General features: G+C 40.3%; 1 protein-coding gene across 18 annotated transcripts in view; it reads right to left on the bottom strand.

Moving 5' to 3' along the window:
• NDUFAF5 (NADH:ubiquinone oxidoreductase complex assembly factor 5) overlaps nt 11,761–18,310 on the bottom strand; it is a 36,553-nt gene continuing 30,003 nt past the window's right edge. For 16 of the 18 annotated variants that reach the window (NR_147983.2, NR_147982.2, NR_147981.2 and 13 more), the window contains 3 exons: nt 16,795–16,878; nt 16,384–16,466; nt 11,761–16,223 (listed from right to left, as the gene is read on the bottom strand). Coding sequence is in view for 10 of the 18 variants with exons in the window: in NM_001352407.2 (NP_001339336.1) it covers nt 16,131–16,223; nt 16,384–16,466; nt 16,795–16,878 (260 nt within the window). In the remaining 8 variants the exon portion in view is untranslated. Of the gene's footprint in view, nt 16,224–16,382; nt 16,467–16,794; nt 16,879–18,310 lie in introns of those variants that run through there. The other 2 variants (XM_047440469.1, XR_937140.3) reach the window with 2 other exon arrangements.

Here is an 18,310-nt window from a genome sequence, read left to right as displayed (position 1 = left end):
TAATAATATTTACTGACCTGGAAATACCATGTTTTATTGTGATGTGGAAAAAAGCATATTTCAAAACAGTTTATAAAATTTGGTCACAGTTTGTAAAAAAAAAAAAAAGATGTATCTATATAGGTCATATGTTAGAAAATTCTGCAAATGCAGAATGAAAATGGATGTTTCATCACAGTGAAAATGGATGTTTCATCACAATGATTATCTCTGATGGGATTGGCAGAATTAATTTTCTAGAAAGCATAATCTAACCATATGCTGTCTACGAGAAACATGCTCTAGATTCAAAGACATGAATAAGTTTAAAGTAAAAGTTGAAAGAAGGTGTACCATGCAAACAGTAACCAAAAGGACAAAAGTGACTATGCTAGTATTAGACAAAATAAATTTGAAGACAAAAAAAAGGTATTAGAGAGAAAAGGGACATTTTATAATGAAAGAGGGGAAATTTATTAGAAGATGTAACAATTATAAATATATATGCATATAACAACAGAACTCCAAAATCCATGAAGCAAAAACAGACAGAATTAAAGGAAGAAATAGAAAATTCAACAACATTTGTTTAATATCCCATTTTTAATAATGGATAGAATAACTAGGCAGAAGATCATAAAGAACTAGAGGACTTGAACAACACTACAAACCAACTAGACCTAATAGTTACCTATAGAATAACAGCAGAATGCATTATGTAGAAAGCAGTCTGGCAGTTTCTCAGAAAATTAAGCATAGAGTTACTATATGAGCCAGCAATTCTGCTGCTTAGTATACACGTAAAAGAATTGAAAACATGTTTACGTAAAAACTTGTACACAAACATTCATAGCAGCATTATCCACAACAGTCAAAAAGTGGAAACGACCTAAATATCTATCAACAGATGGATATACAGAATGTGGTATATCCATACAATGGAGTATTATTCAGCAATAAAAAGTAATGAAGTATTGATACATGTAACATCATGGATGAACCTTAAAAATATTATGCTAGGTGAAAGAAGCCAGGCCACATATTGTATGATTCCATTTATATGAAATATCCAGAATAGGTAAGTTCCCAGAGACAGAAGGAATTTAGATGAGTTGTAGTCAGGGCCCAGGGGTTGATGGGGAGTGGAAAATGACTGCTAATGGGCATGATGTTTCTTGTGGAAGTGACGAAAAATGTCTTAATATCAAATATTGGTAATGGTTGGACAACTCTGTGAATACACTAAAAACCACTGAATTGTTCACTATAAAAGGGCAAATTTTAGGGTATACAAATGGCATCTCCAAGCTGTAATAAAAAATAAATGGTGACAAATATGACAAAATCTTAACAGTTATTAAGTTAGGGTTTGGGGGATATGAATGTTATTTTATTCCTTAAACTTCACCGTAACTTTTAATAATCTCTAACTTAAAAGAAAAGGGATCCTGGGATAATTTCAGAAAAAAAATGGATTATTCCCTCACCCCCTCTCATAGAGACAGTGGGTGCTCATTAATCAACATTCCACATGCTCCCCTAAATTTCCCAGCCTCCTGGTGACTATGTTGGGCCCAGGTAACCAGTTCTGTCCAATGAACTGTGAGTACAAGTGGTATTTGTCACTTCTAGAAAGGCAAAGCAGTTGAAAGCTGGTGTTTGCTTCCTCCACCCTTCTTTTTTCCTGCTAAGAACTTAGAAACCACAGGATGAGAAAGCGCTAGCTCCAGATGGAGGGCGTGTGGATCTCCCAGTCACTACATGGTGATCCCCTCCCCAACTTACATAGACTAGGCCTGAATGAGAAATAAACTTTTCTTGTGCGAAGCCATTTCAGAGTTTATTTGTAACTGCTGCCTAATCTAGGCTAGTCTAATTAATATATGCCCCACCATAGACAAAAACAAACAATAGATTAAACCATTTTGTGCAGGACCGTTTAAAAAAGGCTAGAAAAAATTTAAAGCAACCTAAAAAAAAAAAATGTTTAAGATCCCAGTGTGGGGAAATAATTTTTAAGCACCAAAGCAATGAAAGTCATCAGAAAGGAAAAGCTGCACAGATTAGGGTAGAAATAAAATAAAATTTTGGAACATTAAGAAAGCCACCATATACAAAATGACAGAAATGAGGGGAAATGTCATAATAAATGTGTCAGTGAGTTAAGGACTGTAACACTTAAACTATGAACTAGAAAAAAAAATGGGCAGGGGATGTGAAAATATAAATCATTTAACACATATGCAACATTTATTTGTGCCACTATTTACAGACACTGTGAGTAGTCTATGCATATATCATTCTTCACCACAGTGATTCTGTAAGGGAGATACTACTATCATGTCCATTTGAAAAGGAGTAGTGAAGCAAGACTCAAAATCACACAGCTAATAAGTGTATTTGAACTTGGTTCTCATCAAATGCCAAAGTTAGCCACTATCCTTCCACAGGAAAGCATGTGAGCTGATACTTAATAATCCAAGCAATGAAAACAATAATATAATGCTAAAGATCTAATAAATAATTATAACCAGTATAGTGAGGGTATGGTGAGACATTCATTCACTTGCTCTTTGTTCATTCATAATTTTTGAACATTCAGTAGTTATTGAAAATCTGTTAGGGTCCAGGAACTTTCCAGGTCCTGGGGATATAACAATGACCAATACAGACCCAAACCCCTGCCCTCCTGGAGCTGACCTACCCAGTTAGTATGAGATGTACAGAGGCATAATTATTCTGGGATAATAAATATCAAGAGCCCTAAATATGTTCACATACTTTAGTTCAGCAATTCTAGTCCTAGTAATTTATTCTACTCATCATGTAGCTGTCTATAATGGGAAAAAGGTTGGAAAAGACATAGTCCTAAAAATAGAAATCATCAAATAATGTGTGGTACATTCACACGATGAAATATGTAGCCATTAAAAATCATACTTTTTAAAAAAGAATGACAGAAAAATGCCCATAGCATAGTATTATTGAAGAAGGCAGGATGCCATACAGTATACAGGATGATTTGATGTTTATTATCTAGGTAGCTAGCTGTTAGTAAAATCTGGAGCGATATACACTGATATTTTAATAGGCGTTGATGGTATTATAGGGTTTAAAAATTTCCCAAAATTTTCACAGTGAACATGAATAACTTTTATAATGATGGTGGGGGTAATTAGAAAAAAATGTTTTCTACCTACGTGTTTTGTTGTTGTTTTGTTGTTGTTTGTTTTTTAAAGAGGCAGAGTCTTGCTGTCACCCAGGCTGGAGTGCAGTGGTGTGATCATATCTCACTGCAGCCTCAAACTCCTGAGCTCAAGTAATCCTCCCACCTCAGCCTCCCAATTAGCTGGGATTATAGGAGCATGCTGCCGCGCCTGGCTAAGAAAAAATGTTTTCTAAAAAGTCTTCGCCATCTTTCAAGAGCCAACTCAAATGGGAAGGAAGACCTCTCCTTGTGCGCTATTTTCTCCTCAGTCTGTACATTCTCCCAGGGCAGTTTCATCCAGCACTCCCATCCTTCCCCTACCTCCAAGCAATCAATCAATCATGAAGGCCTATTGATTACCCTCCCTTTCAATCCTCATCCATGGTCCTCACCCCTGTGCAGTCTGCCTCCACCTCTACCCCTGGGCTCTTGTTACTCTAAATGTTCTGTCTCCTTGATTCCATTCTCCACACTGTATCCAGACAGATCTTTTTTATTTATTTATTTATTTTGAGATGGAGTCTCACCCTGTCACCCAAGCTGGAGGATGGTGATGCAATCTCGGCTCACTGCAACCTCTGCCTCCTGGGTTCAAGTAATTCTCCTGCCTCAGCCTCCCAAGTACTTGGGATTACAGGCACCTGTCACCACTCCTGGCTAATTTTTGTATTTTTAGTAGATACAGGGTTTTGCCATGTTGGCCAGGCTGTCTCGAACTCTTGACCTCGGTTGATCTGCCCACCTCGGCCTCCCAAATTGTTGAGATTACAGGCGTGAGCCACTGTGCCCAACCCAGAAAGATCTTTTTAAAAAAGAAATTGCTTGCCACTCCCTCAATTAAAACTCTTCAGTATTAGCCAGGTATGGTGGCTTGCACCTGTAGTCTCTCTCAGCCACTCAGGAGGCTGAGGCAGGGGAATCCCTTTTGAGCTGAGGAGTTCCAGGCTGCAACGAGCTATGATTGTGTTCCTGCACTCCAGCCTGGGCCACAGATAAAGGCCCTATCTCTAAAACAAAAAGCCAAATACTCTTCAGTGATTGTGCATTGCCTTCAGAATAAGGTCAAACTCCCTGTACTAGTTCTAGCTCTCCCAGAAGCTGACCCTGGGATAAGAACTTGGGTGCTGGTGATTTACTTGGCTGGGAAGCACAGTGAGGGAGGGATGGGAGAAAGACAAAGCAGTTTGAGTAGGTTTTGCATCCTGAAATCCCAGTCCCTATTTAGGTCTCATTAGTGTGTATGGCAAATATGCCTCCTTATTTCAGAGACTGAGACAAAATTAATGATTCTTAAAATCTAGTGTACACAAGAATCATCCAGAGAGCTGTTTTTAAAGTAGGATTTTTGGGTCCCGTGACAAGAATTCCAATTACCTGCAGACCCTATCACCGAACATTAAGTGCAATTAATGGATCCTGTTTTCCTCAGGAACTCACAATTTGCAATGGCAACCTCCTTTAAAATGAAATTCGCCCTCTGTGTAATAATTAAAAAGAGTAATAGTTGTTTTCTTTTTTACTTTTTCTTTTTCTTTTTTTTTTGGAGATGGAGTCTTACTTTGTCTCCAGGCTGGAGTGTAGTGGCATGATCTCAGTTCACTGCAACCTCTGCCTCTCAGGTTCAAGCAATTCTCCTGCCTCAACCTCCCAAGTAGCTGGGACTACAGGTGAACACCAACACATCCAGCTAATCTTTGTATTTTTAGTAGACATTGGGTTTCACTATGTTGGCCAGGATGGTCTTGATCTCCTGATCTCATCATCTGCCCGCCTTGGCCTCCCAAAGTGTTGGGATTACAGGCGTGAGCCACCGCATCCGGACTGTTTTTGTTTTAATTTAGGAGACAGAGTCTCGCTCTGTCACCCAGGCTGGAGTGCAGTGGCATGATCTCTGCTCACTGCAACCTCCACCTCTCCTGCCTCCTGGATTCAAGCAATTCTCCTACCTCAGCCTCCTGAGTAGCTGGGATTACAGGTGACTGCCACCACACCCGGCTAATTTTTGTATTTTAGTAGAGATAGTGTTTCACCATGTTGGCCAGGCTGGTCTCAAATTCCTGACCTCAGGTGATCTCCCCACCTGGGTCTCCCAAAGTGCTGGGATTACAGGTGTAAGCCACTGTGCCTTGCCTGTGAGTGACAGTTTTTTAATTCTTTGTATCTCCCTTCTCCCTCACAACACACACACACAAACACACACACACACACACACACACACAGATACACACCACTGCTTCTTTGGACTTGTTAGAAATAAGGAATGGGATCATTACTGAGCTATCTATATCTATCTCTTAGTGGTTTCCTTGACAACACTAAAGTTTGGAAATTACCATTTGTAAGGATCTAAATTCTTAGACCAGGAACTGCCTTATCCAGATGGTCTAAGGATGGAAGACAAAGGGTTTATTAAGGGTTTATTCTTCTAATATTTATTCATTCACTTCCTCATTTATTCACTGTGTTTCCCAAAAGCCACTTGTCACTGCATGTAATTGCCTTTTATTAAATAAGTAAAAAGTGATACATATAAGCACTTAGGACAGTGCCTGGTAGATAGTAAGCATCTGAGTTATCTATTACTCCTTTATTTCATTAATTCTAAAATACACCTTTTTCCAAATTTTAACATCTCCAAAATCAGGATACAATTTGCAGTCGAAGGCACTTAGAATTGAAGAAATACTGTATTGTTTATTGTTGTTCTGCTCCACTTGGCTGGAGGCCTCTTAATGGCTGGGGTTTCTTCCTCCTTACACTCCAGCACCCGGCATGGTGTGGTTTGGGTGGAATGAATGAAAACATGGATGAAGTCTTTCCTGATACCACCTGTTCCACCACACAGACAGCACTCACTTTCCTTGGAACTCGTAAGGCTCATGGTCAGACATCTTTCCTGGCACTTCTTATATTCTACTTTGAACTATGGTTGACTGCCCATGTCACCTTATACCAGTGTAATGAAGGCAGGGACCCTGTCCTATTTATCCAAGTATCAGCATTGCACCGTGCCTTCCACATCGGTGCCTTAATCAAAGTATTTTTGGTCCCAAGAAAACGCACAATGTCAGCTTCCCCGTGGTCTCTAGTTGGCTGGGCTGTGAGCTCTGTGAGGGCAGTGATCAGGTTCCTCTCATCTCTCGGTGAGCTTCGTATATAGTAGGTGCTCAATAAGTACTGAATGAAGAACTTGTCCACACCCACCCTGCTTCACTCCCAGGCCAGTCTGACACAACTTCCCTCTCTAATGTAAATCCATCGTGAAGTGTGCAATGACACACGTGTTTCCAGAACCAACACAACAGCAGCAGCAGCGGTTCTTCAAAATTCCTGACTGCAACAGAAGTGGTGGGGAGGTAAAAAGGGGTCTGTGATTCACGTAGAAGTTTTCTCTGCTCAGAAAACTCTTGCTCTGGAGCAGGGGCTGTAGCTCTTAAAACTCTCAGTGCCAAATTTAATCAGAATCTCTGGGAGTGAGACCCAGGGAACAGTATTTTTTGTTTTTATTCTCAACACACAGCCCATTGAGGTCTGTCGTAACCTGCAACACAGAAATTTGCTCTAAACAAATTCAATGTGGGGTGACTCTGGACTTTGTGAAGGACTCCTCACTGGAGGTCTTTGGAATGGAGAGCTCCCCAAGGGACCATGAGAACCTTCATACCTTTCTCTAAACCTCCTGAGGAGGGCAGGTGCACTGTCTGGGCCTGTGGCTGAGCTGGGGTTGTGTAACTGTCAAGCCTGCCATAGATTTCTGGGCAAGACACTGGAACACCTATGTCCTCTCTCTCCACCCCTAGCTATGACCTCAAGCAAGTCATTCCCTCTCTGCGTAACTCAATTTCCTTATTTGCAAAGCAAGATTGCTCTAATGTCCTATAGCTCAAAAGTTTTATAATTCACTCTAGCCTCTCAGGTGTTAAGAGGTGTTGTTATAGTTGTCTATAACAAAAAATTTAAAAAATCTTTTCATGTGTGGCAAGAATAGAATTATTTTTTAGGCTGTGAGATTTGAATTCTTAGCTGTTTTTTGGCCACCTAATTAATTTCATCCAGCATTTGTATCAATATGGAAACATTTACTTCCTGTTTTTTGAGGTGTGTACTGGTGTGAAATGAATTATCCTAACTTGTATTTTCATTAATCAGAAAATAATTCTAGGTAAAGATGAAGTGCCTCTAAAAGAAAATATGTTCAATCTTCACCTAATAAAGCATTAAATGAATTTCTTATATTTGAATTCTATTTAGACTTTGCCATAGAAACAAAATAGCTGTCTGAGTCAAGTGATTTATTCTTTTTTAAAAAGGGACAGTGACTTTAAGCAGTACCTGTCTATTAATCAGTCTTCCAAGTAAGCAAGAGGGAATTGAATGCAGAACAAATGGTAAACTAGCACTACAACAGCAGTCAATAGTTTATTCTTAAGAGCTTCCCCGAAATTCATTCTGTCTAGAATAATAATAGCTAACATATCATGCTTATTATGTGCCAGGCACTGTTCTGACTGAATGTATTATTAGCTCATTTGATCTTCACAACTGCCTTCCTGGGAGAATACTGTATCCTTCCTTTTTTTTTTTTTGAGACAGAGTTTCACTCTGTTGCCCAGGCTAGAGTGCAGTGGTGTGATTTTTTGGCTCACGGCAACCTCCGCCTCCCGGGTTCAAGCGATTCTCCTGCCTCAGCCTCCTGAGTAGCTGCAATTACAGGTGTGCGCCACCATCTCAGCCTTCCAAAGTCCTGGGATTACAAGCGTGAGCCACTGTGCCAGGCCCATCATCCCTCTTTTACAGAAGAGGAAGCTGAGGTCAAGTAACTTGTCCAAGACCACATAGCCAGTACTTAACCATTGCATTGACTGCCTTGAGAAAGTTCATAAACAATTTTGCAGGTGAACAGATTCTGATAACTGAATGTAGATTTTTCGAGAATTATTCAAATTATTTAACAAGCCTGTACAATGCCTAGCATTGTGCTAGGCTAATGTTTCCCCAAACGAGTTCAAGGTCTTACTTGATCCTCCTTGATAAAAGGGTTACTGGACCATTAAGTCTGGAAGATGTCCTAAAATTTAGCCTGCTTTGGGAGATTCAGAATTACATCAAAGGTTCTGCGAAACCTTACAGGAAAGATATCCACATGCTTACCTCAGCTTTGCTAACCACATTTACCTCTGGAAATTCTCCTCTCCATCTCCTGTGCTCCACCTCTACCTTCTTTTGCAACACCTATAAATGTAAGAGTTATTGTACCAGACACTTAAGGCATCTAATGAGCTTGGCTTCCTAAGCCTAAGAAGTGTGATGCTTTACCTGCTAAGTGTTATATTGATACTTTGAAGAATGGTTCTCATTTCACAGCAGTTGAGTAACTAAACACAGGTACGCTAGTTAGTGGTAGAAAGGGGATCCAATGGGAGGGTGTGACTTCAGAACTCATGCTAATCTTAGCCACTACTCCACTGGGCCACCCTATATCTAATAATAGGTGAACATCTTGTCTGGATGGGAATCTACCCTGCCCCATGACATAATGCCGTCAGCTGCGCTGCAGGCCCTGCTTTGACCTCACATCATGGTTCTAGGCTTACTCTCTAAAGTCAGGCCCTTCCCTGTCTCTCAGTCCCAGCAATTGTATTTCTGCCCCATCATTCACATGCATGTCTCTTTTTCCTTGGGACCCAGATTCCTCTGAGATAGGAGTCTAGCTTTGAATCCCAATTGAGTGGCTGATCCTTAGAATTTGCAGCTGAACGTGCCTGATGCTAGCTGCCTGTTCTTCCGGTCTCCTGCTGTGCCGTGCTCACAGGGGTCATAGTGACTCTATCTGGGCTTTCCCTGGGGCTGTTGGAACCCTGGTTATTGCAGTGCCAATGCTCAAGGAAGCTAAACAGTTAGCTGAAGAGGCAGAATTCATGAACAGGAAATGATGTACAAAGTGCTAAAGGAGATGGAACTAACCAAAGTTCAAGATGGCCTGGGACAAAAAAAGAGCTGGATATGAAGGGTGACAGCTCCCAGTAGAAGGGACCCAGAAGAGTTTGGAGTGCAGGCAGTTCTGCAGGGACAAGGATTCAAGGACGGGGCTGAGCAAGTGTTGGAGACAGTGGGTGCAATCACCTGACTGGTTCTAATATGCGGCTGGAGTGTTCAAGGGTATGGTGGAAGGGAGGATGTGAAGAAAGGCTGGGAGCTCACAGAAGGTTTTGACTTGCAAAGAAGGCAGCACACTACAATCATTAATTGTACTGTTCCCTTCACATACAAGACTGAAGTCAAAATTGTCTCTGTCACTTATGTGACCTTGGAGAAGTCACAACCTAAGCCTGTTTCCTCATCTAACAAATGGGGACAATAGTACTAATATCTCATAGGGAACTGAGGATGAAATGTGAATTGAGAATGGATATCTAAGGCTTAGCACACTGCCTGGTGAGAGCACAGTAAGGGCGCCTTCAAGAGGGCTTTACCAATCCGTAACAACTGTGTACAGGTTCAAAGAAGCCTCCTTTGTGGAGAACCATGAGTGTTCAGCTGGCTCCTCAGGAAATTACATGGACAACCAGTACTTTCGTATCTATTTCTTCACTTGGCCCTCCAGAGTGCTGCCACCTGAAGCCTGAGCATTTCCTGTTCTGCAGCCAGGACTTGTCACCTAGACAAGTAACTGGGAACTTTGTGCAAAACTAAGGGACACTTCCCAAATGCTGAATGCTTGGTGCCTATGAGAAAATGTCATCTTCCATGGAAAATATAGAAGGCTATCCATGCTGGACATATAAGGGTCTGGGGCCCTCCTTTGTGACCCAGAAACTTAAAAATGAAAATGCATTCTTTGGCGAGGCACGGTGGCTCACGCCTGTAATCCCAGCACTTTGGGAGGCCAAGGCAGGCAGATCACCTGAGGTCAGGAATTTGAAACCAGCCTGGCCAATGTGGTGAAACCCTGTCTCTACTAAAAATACAAAAATTAGCCAGGCATGGTGATGCAGGCCTATAATCCCAGCTACTTGGGAGGATGAGGCAGGAGAATCACTTGAACCCGGGAGGCGGCGGTTGCAGTGAGCCGAAGTGGCACCACCGCACTCCAGCCTGGGCGAGAGAACAAGACTGTCTCAAACAACAACAACAAAATGCATTATTGAGCTGGGCATCGTGGCACATGCCTGTAAGCCCAGCTCCTTGGGAGCTTAAGCCCAGGAGTAAAAACAAAAACAAAAAAACCCAAAAAACCCCAGCATGCTGACTCACTTTTTAAAGATTAAGGGACCCAAAGTAAATCATGCTGTGCTTCCTTCTTAAATCTTATCCTCAGGGGAAGTCAAAGTCTACTTTGAAGGGAAAAGAAGTCCCCAAGGTCAACAGAGTCTGAGAAACTGTAAAGATGGGAGGGCTTCCTGTCCACTTTGCCTTGGGACCCAGGTTCTGGGGTCAGGCTGAAAAGCTCCTCTGAGATCATCCTGTCCAATGGCTCGCAACCATTTCCCACCTCTAACATGAGCTCCCTCTGGCTGTGACTCTCAACCAAGGAGAGAAAGGTGGAAGTGTTTGAAAAAGCCCTTCAGGAACGTGAAAGGCAGGCTGGTAGCCTCCTTTGAGACTCACCAATTAGCAAACCTGTAATTTTACAGATGAAGATATTGAGGTCAGAGAGATGGAGTCTGCCCCAGCATTAGGAACAAACAGGACCAGCACTAAACCCAGACCACCTGACTCCCAGTCCCCGACCTTTCTTTGACTTCCATAGTTTTTTATGGCAGACTGGCAAGTCTTTCTTTGGAATTCTCCTCTTCCCAATCTCCCACTCACAATCTGAGCACAAACACTCTGAGCACAAAAACAGTACACCTGGTAAGTGTTCCTGATATTCTACCACCAGACCTGTTCTGACAGAACTAGCAACGGGCATCCTGGCCAAACGTGTGATTCCTGAATGAAGAGTCTAGACACTGGCCGGGTTACAATGGCCACTTTCAAAGTGCAGGCAATTTACTTTTGCCTGGTTTTAGCAGTGACTAACAATGTACGATCAAGTCTGGCTTTAAAGAGTCCTTGTTATTTCCACATCCTTGTACTCATTTGTGAGCCTGGTAACAAGTATGCAGTGTCAACAGTCCATCCTAATGAGCTGTCGCAACTCAACAGCTACGGCAGAAGGGAACTGGCTGAAGAATCTGTGTGCAGTTATGTAGCTCACTGAATTCTCATGGTCTTCCCAAATTCTCTGATTTCATTTGGAAATTAGCCCATCGAGGCTTCCAAAAAATTTATCCTAATATTCCCAGGAAAGAAAATTTGAGGCCTACTAAACTTAATGTGGGAAGTTAGTTCCATTTCAAGATATCATGGAATCAAACCTCCAGGCAAGAGCATTTCAGGTCTGGTGTTCTCTGAGAACAAAAGTAATACAGTTTATGTTAACTTTACCTAATTGTAAATAAGGGGGCTATGTTTTATGCTGAAAATAACAACTCAGAATACCTTGCCCACCCTAATACACCTCCTGAAGACAGTGTATCGCGTATCAGTTATCTATTGCTGTGTAACAAATTACTCTAAAACACAGTTGCTTAAACCACAAACATTTATCATCTCAGTTTCTGTAGATAAGATATTTGAGAGTGGCTTAGCTAGGTGGTTCTAGCTCAGGGTCTCTCATGAGGTTGTGGTCAATGCATTGGCTGGGACCACAGTCATCTGAAGTTTGGGCCTGGAGAATTGCTTCCAAGATGGCTCCCTCACATGGCTTTTGGCTGGAGGCCTCTGCTCCTCACTTCTAGGTCTTCTCCATGGAGTTGAGTGGCCTTACAATATGGCTGCTGGCTTTCCCTAGAGTGAAGGATCCAAGAGAGAGTAAGGAGGATGCAATGCCTTTTATTACCTAGTCTCAGAAGTGACACACCATCTATTTGTTGGAAGGGAATCACTAAACTCAGCCTGTACTTAGAGGGGAATGAAGTGTCCCGTCTTAAAGAGAAGCATATCAAAAATTTGTGGATAGATTTTAAAACCACCACAGATGGCAAAGCATTATTTTCTTATTTGTTAACAGTAACTTATCAGTGTTCACCCCACCTTCTAGTATTTTCAAATTGATGTTTTTTAAACCAGCATGGTAAAATAACTGTCATGTATGTATTCAGGTAGAGAATTAAAATATACCAATATCTGAAAAGGCAAGTCTGCTTATGATAAATTTCCTGAAGATTAATTTCACATCATTAACCACAACCCCTCCCCAAAAAAGCTCAAAATATTTCTTAAGCAAGAGAGGCTAATGGTAACTTACAAAGGAACAGAATAATAATCACTGCATCAACTATCTTTCTTTTTTCCAAATATCTACTAATATTCACTTCTTTCCTTCACAGAAGCCAATCCACGGTAAAATACTTTTATTCCACTCCTACTTAAGGAATACATAATCAATACAAAAATTGTACTTTTTTTTTTTCTTTTTTGAGACGAGGGTCTTGCTGTTGCCCAGGCTAGAGTGCAGTGGTGCGACAGCTTGCTGCAGCCTTGACCTCCTGGGCTCGATCAATACTCCCACCTCAGCCTTCTGAGTAGCTGGGACCACAGGCTTGTGCCACCATGCCTGGCTAATTTTTTTTTTATTTGTAGAGACAGGGTTTCATCACGTTGCCCAAGCTGGTCTCAAACTCCTGGGCTCAAGCAATCCTCCCGTCTCAGCTTCCCAAAGTGTTGAGATCACAGGTGTGAGCCACTGCAGCCGGCCAAAAAACTGTACATGTCTTTAATGCAGGTCATACTGTAATTGCTTCCACCTAGTGGATGAAAATGGTACTAAAAGAGTTTGAAAAAATATATAAACTTCCCTCACAGGTACTTCATGACTCACACACTTCTGTAACTTTTTACAATCATATCACATACTTGATGTATATAGGTAGCTTACATCTCAATAAATCCTACAAATTCTTCCTATAAAGCAAAAATTCTTTTGTAGGTATACATTTTCATATTTACCTTTGGAATTCTCCAGGCCAACCTGGAATATTGCTAAGAACCAGGAAATAAGCCAAACAGTCTCCTGGCAGCCAACAGGTGTCACGGTGTGCACATACTAGAGCCCTGTCAGACTGACAACTATAAAAGCAGAGACTAGTTGGATGCCTGGCACATGAAACTCAATGAAGATCTGTTAAAGGAACCAATAAAGCTCATGAATTTTATTCCAAAGGAGTCTTTCTCCCAGAACCTAGTTCCTCTTTCCTACCTTAATACAAAAGTCCTAGAAATCTTTCAGTATGAATTCTAATCTTATAGCTAAACAGAGAAGAAATGACTCAAGAAAGTTCATTTTGGTCAAGGTGTTGAGATTGACAACTGACAGCAAGTAAGAAAAGTGCTGGAAAAGACACAAAACCAACCACAGCATTCTTGGGACCAGTCTGGGAAGAAGCAATACAGACAACTTGAGTTTATGATATTATCTGTGGGGTTATCAAGAAATGGTTATTGGCCAGGCCTGGTGGCTCACACCTGTAATCTCAGCACTTTGGGAAGCCAAGGTGGGCAGATCACAAGGTCAAGAGATTGAGACCATCCTGGCCAACATGGTGAAACCCCATCTCTATTAAAAATACAAAAATTAGCCAGCGTGGTGGCACGCGCCTGTAATCCCAGCTACTTGGGAAGCTGAGGCAGGAAGAATCACTTGAACCCAGGAAGCGGAGGCAGCAGTGAGCCGAGATTGCGCCACTGTACTCCAGCCTGGAGACAGAGCGAGACTCCGTCTCAAAAAATAAAATAAAATAAAAAATAAAAAAATAAACCAACAAAAAAGATGATTATTTATCATATACCATTTAAGAATGTAACATTTATGAAAAATTTTTGATAAAGACCTTTTAAAAGTTTCATTGCTTAAAAGGATGAGCTCTTAATCATTTGGAAAATGTGGTTATTCAGAAAAATTAGTTTCCTGAGGGCTCCAAACAATAAAAGCTTAATAGCACACTTCCAGCAGATTTAACTACAAAAATAATTTCACTAGTGTTATACACACTAAAATAAGTGTTTTCACTACAATCACTCACATTAAACAATAAGGGTCCTCAATTAGCTGTGTTTGATTTACTTAATTTTTTTAAACAAATGGAGCTTTTTTTGGGATAGCCAGAGTAGAGTAATCCTTAGCTCCACCCCACCATCCACATATAATTCCGTTGACATTAAATAAGCAAAAGTAATATTCTTGCTTGGAAAATTCAAATTTTACAGGAAGTTTAAAAAGTGAAAAGTACAAGTCTCCCTCCTAGTTTCTATACCCCTGACAGACATTCAAACAGAATGACACAGACACACCCAGTTCCTCAGTCCCCTTCCTCAGCAACAGCCACTTAACACTGAGATGTGTTCTTCAAAAACAAGTATTAGTGCACAAAAACACATGTCCTTTTGGAAATATAGACCCCTGGAATTTACCCATTCCTCCATCATCAGTTTGCACTTTAAAACACAGGGTTTTTGGTGGATTTTTCTTTAGATGAGGTCTCCTCTTTTGCCCAGGTTGGAGTGCCGTGGCACAGACAGCTCACTGCAGCCTTGAACTCCTGCCTGCCTCAGCCTCCCAAGTAGCTGGGACTACAGGCATGCGCCATTGCACCTGGCTAGCGCAGTTTGTTTTTTGTTGTTGTTCTCTCTCTTCAAGTTCTGAAAATTAAGCTAAAAAAAAAAAAAACCCCAAAAAACAAAACGCCAAATTCTACTTCACAGGTTTACTTTGTGTTAAAACAAAAAAGCTACCAAGCGTATCCCAGTTTCAAATATCGATGATTTTTCAAACTGAAGGGAACAATAATTTCTTTTTCTCCTACAAATCTTGGTTTTTAACTATAACTTAGTCTTTCAAAGGGCAAGTTTGTTATATAATTAGTTCAAAATGTAACTGAATATCTACTATGTGGAAAGTCCCATGTGCTACGTACAGGCTAACACACAGCCCCCACCCATGGACAGCTTGTTGCTAATACAGTAAAGGAGGGAAGGAAGGCAGAAGAGAGACTGAGAGGAGACAGAAGGAAATGCTATTATAGATCACTGAAGGCTGAAGATGAGGCTAGGGCAGTGCCCAGGTTAAATGGAAAAGACAGCGAACAGCTAACTGGAAACAAAACACTTAGCGCTCACTCCTGCTTGCTTCTCAGCCTTCTCCCTGCTTCCTCTATGTTCTTCTCACCTATCCTAAGCTGTCTGAGCTTGATTATCTCCAAATGATTTTGAACCCTCCTCGACAACAACAGGACTGTGAACTTGGATTAGGATAATAGTGCTTAAGCCCTGAAATTACAAAGGAAAGCTTAACAATAAACTGATGACTGTGCAGAGACTGTTACATGTGATTCTACTTCTGGTATTCTTTAAAATGTTTTCTTCTTCCCTAAGGTAGGGTGGGGTGTAAAACCATGGTGGTCCCACCCACACCATGGAGATAAAAAAGAAATAAGGTTAAATTCAGATGCTTTAAAAAAAAAGAGTTGAGGAGGGATTTAATAAAGATACATGCTCTTCTAAATTCTAAAACCACATAACTCTGGAGAAGGTGCATATTCATCTGTTCCTCTTCAAGGCAAAGAAAACAGTATGACAAATGAAAAAGGTGTAAAAGGTCAGCATGAGTAATATTTTCCAAGGCATTTACATATGTGAACATTATTTGCAAATATTTTAGGGAAATATTTTCTTTGCTTTTAGGCTGAATCTGCAAAGACACTCAGCAGTATCCTTATGAGAACAGAAACAATATGAAACTGAAATGGTTACTATAGATGTGATATTAGGTTTTCCTAATTATATGAAAAGCCTATTAGTAAATAGCTTAGAGTGCTTCTTGCTTCAAAATATAATAATTTTAGATGTTAAAGCTATCCATTTCTGATGAAAATTCTGGACGACATTAACACTGAATAAATATTTATTGTGATTTTTTCCCCGGTGGCATAAGGTTGTTTATTTTTCCTAGCTCTCCAAATGACACAGTTGCGGAACCTCTTTCAGCTGGTCTTGCCTGAAAATAATAAAGATTAAAGATATTAGAAATAGATAGATAATACACAGCCCCAATTAAAGCCCTTAATGCTGTCTTACATTACCCCTTCCCCCAAGTTAGTAAACAATAATCTGAACACGAACCCACTAAGAAAAGTGATCCATCTTAGTAACGTTACCTGTGACTCATGATATTTCCATCCTATCATGTAATAGATCTGGTATGTAGCAGGTACTGAACCATCTTCATTTCTGTACATTTCTAAAAAGACAATAATGGTTAAAGTCTGAAAAAATGCAAGTAGGAAAAAATTTCTGCTCAATAAAGGTCATGTTCTTCAAAAAGAAATGGGTACAAGGATACTTGTAAGATTCTGAGAACATCTTACATGAAAAATTCTTAATACTGAGGGTAAGGAAATAGTAAAGGCTGTCTGGAAAAAGCTACAGGATCTGTGTTTTGAGAGGAAGGACAAGAAGTCTGAGGGAGCCTTAACAGGAATGGAAAATGCATTGGCAACGTGAAGGGAATCAACATGATACAGCACAAGTGCCTTGGTGAGGCGGGTGAAAGAGTGGTCGCCCCTTACCTCTGTACACTGCCGCAGCTGCCAGCATTGTGTCTCGATGCAGCAGGGCTTTTCTATTCCAAGCACAGTTACTCTCACCCATACCTACAAATACACTACAGGTAGTTTGAGATAATACAGCAAACACCCTGAACAGCTCAATACCACAGACTTAATCCCGTCTCATCTAACAGTATACCTGTCCTCATTCTCTAAGGGTCATGTAAACCTAAATCTCATTTCACTTTCAGATTATAACTGGGTTTCTTAGTGACTCTAAAGCGAAACTACTTGAAACTTTTTCAACATTAAGACAGGCAAGTGAAATTTCAGGAGGCAGCTCCACAATGCTTTACTTGCCAGCAATGGTCTAAAGTAAGCCCGCTGGGCAAAAGCCAGGTGACTGCCACCCCAGGTGAGTTGTCAGCAATTGGCAAGAACTTTACCAAGGATGTCACATCTCATGCTTTTAGCTGCTCTTTGGAGGAGGACAGGTCAGTGCAACAATGCCTCACTCCTAAGCCATAATGCAAGTATGACTGTGAAACTTGGAAGACGGCTTTGAAACTCATTAGATAGTACCAAAGCTACTATGTGCTCTCAGATTTACAATATTTTACTAATCCCACATTAGGAAAGAATTATGTGCATTCTTTTGGAGGTACTTCTCTTAATGTTTTAAAATATTTAGACTTCCTTCGAGTTGATGGTGAAAAGCTAGGTTAAGCATTATTCTATTGTTCATTTAAGATTAATGTTGTATATTTGATTTTTCTTTATACAAATACTTAAATTTACTTTGAGCATATTTTAAGCCAGTCTGCAAAATTAAAAGAATTTCAGAAATAAAAATCCTTCATATGTATTCTCTATATTAAATTTTACACATGATCAAATGTTTCTTAGTTTTGTTTTTCTACTTTCACAAATCAACAAATGAATAAACTTACCAATATCAGTATTCTTTCACAGTTTAAAAATAATAATCTACCATATTTTCAATGGTCTTATTAAAAACAATCAACAAATGAGCTGCACCTAAACCTTTTTCTTCTCTTTAATCTCAAAAGATTTCTACTACTCTCTAAAATAATGAATCTCTGCTACTAAAATCCTGTAAGTGTAACAACCCCAATTCATGCAGATTGACAGACACAAACTAGTAGGTTAATTATCATCAAGAAAAAGGTGGATCATATTCTTAGTGTCATGAAGCAGCTGGATAACCTTGGGCCAATCATCTGTGGTCTTTAAAGTGACCAGACTAGATGCTCCGTAAAGGCTTCTAGTGCTCACATTTTAACCATATCAAGTGACCAGAGGTAAACTGGGTCTCACATTGGAAGAGTCTGTTGGCTCAGGTATGGTGCTTTCATTTCTGCTCAACTTCTCGCTGCTATGGCTTAATTATGCATTAGTTATGGACAACACCAGTAGAAAAGAGATTTAATTTTTTAGACATAAACATGTGATGCACTAGAAATTCTAAAATGCCTTCTAACAATCAGTATTAGGATATACTAATTAAGATTAGTAG

The sequence above is a fragment of the Homo sapiens genome, chromosome 20, assembly GCF_000001405.40.
Source record: "Homo sapiens chromosome 20, GRCh38.p14 Primary Assembly".
Classification (NCBI taxonomy): Eukaryota; Metazoa; Chordata; class Mammalia; order Primates; family Hominidae; genus Homo; species Homo sapiens.
This window is presented reverse-complemented; position numbering and strand designations above follow the sequence as displayed.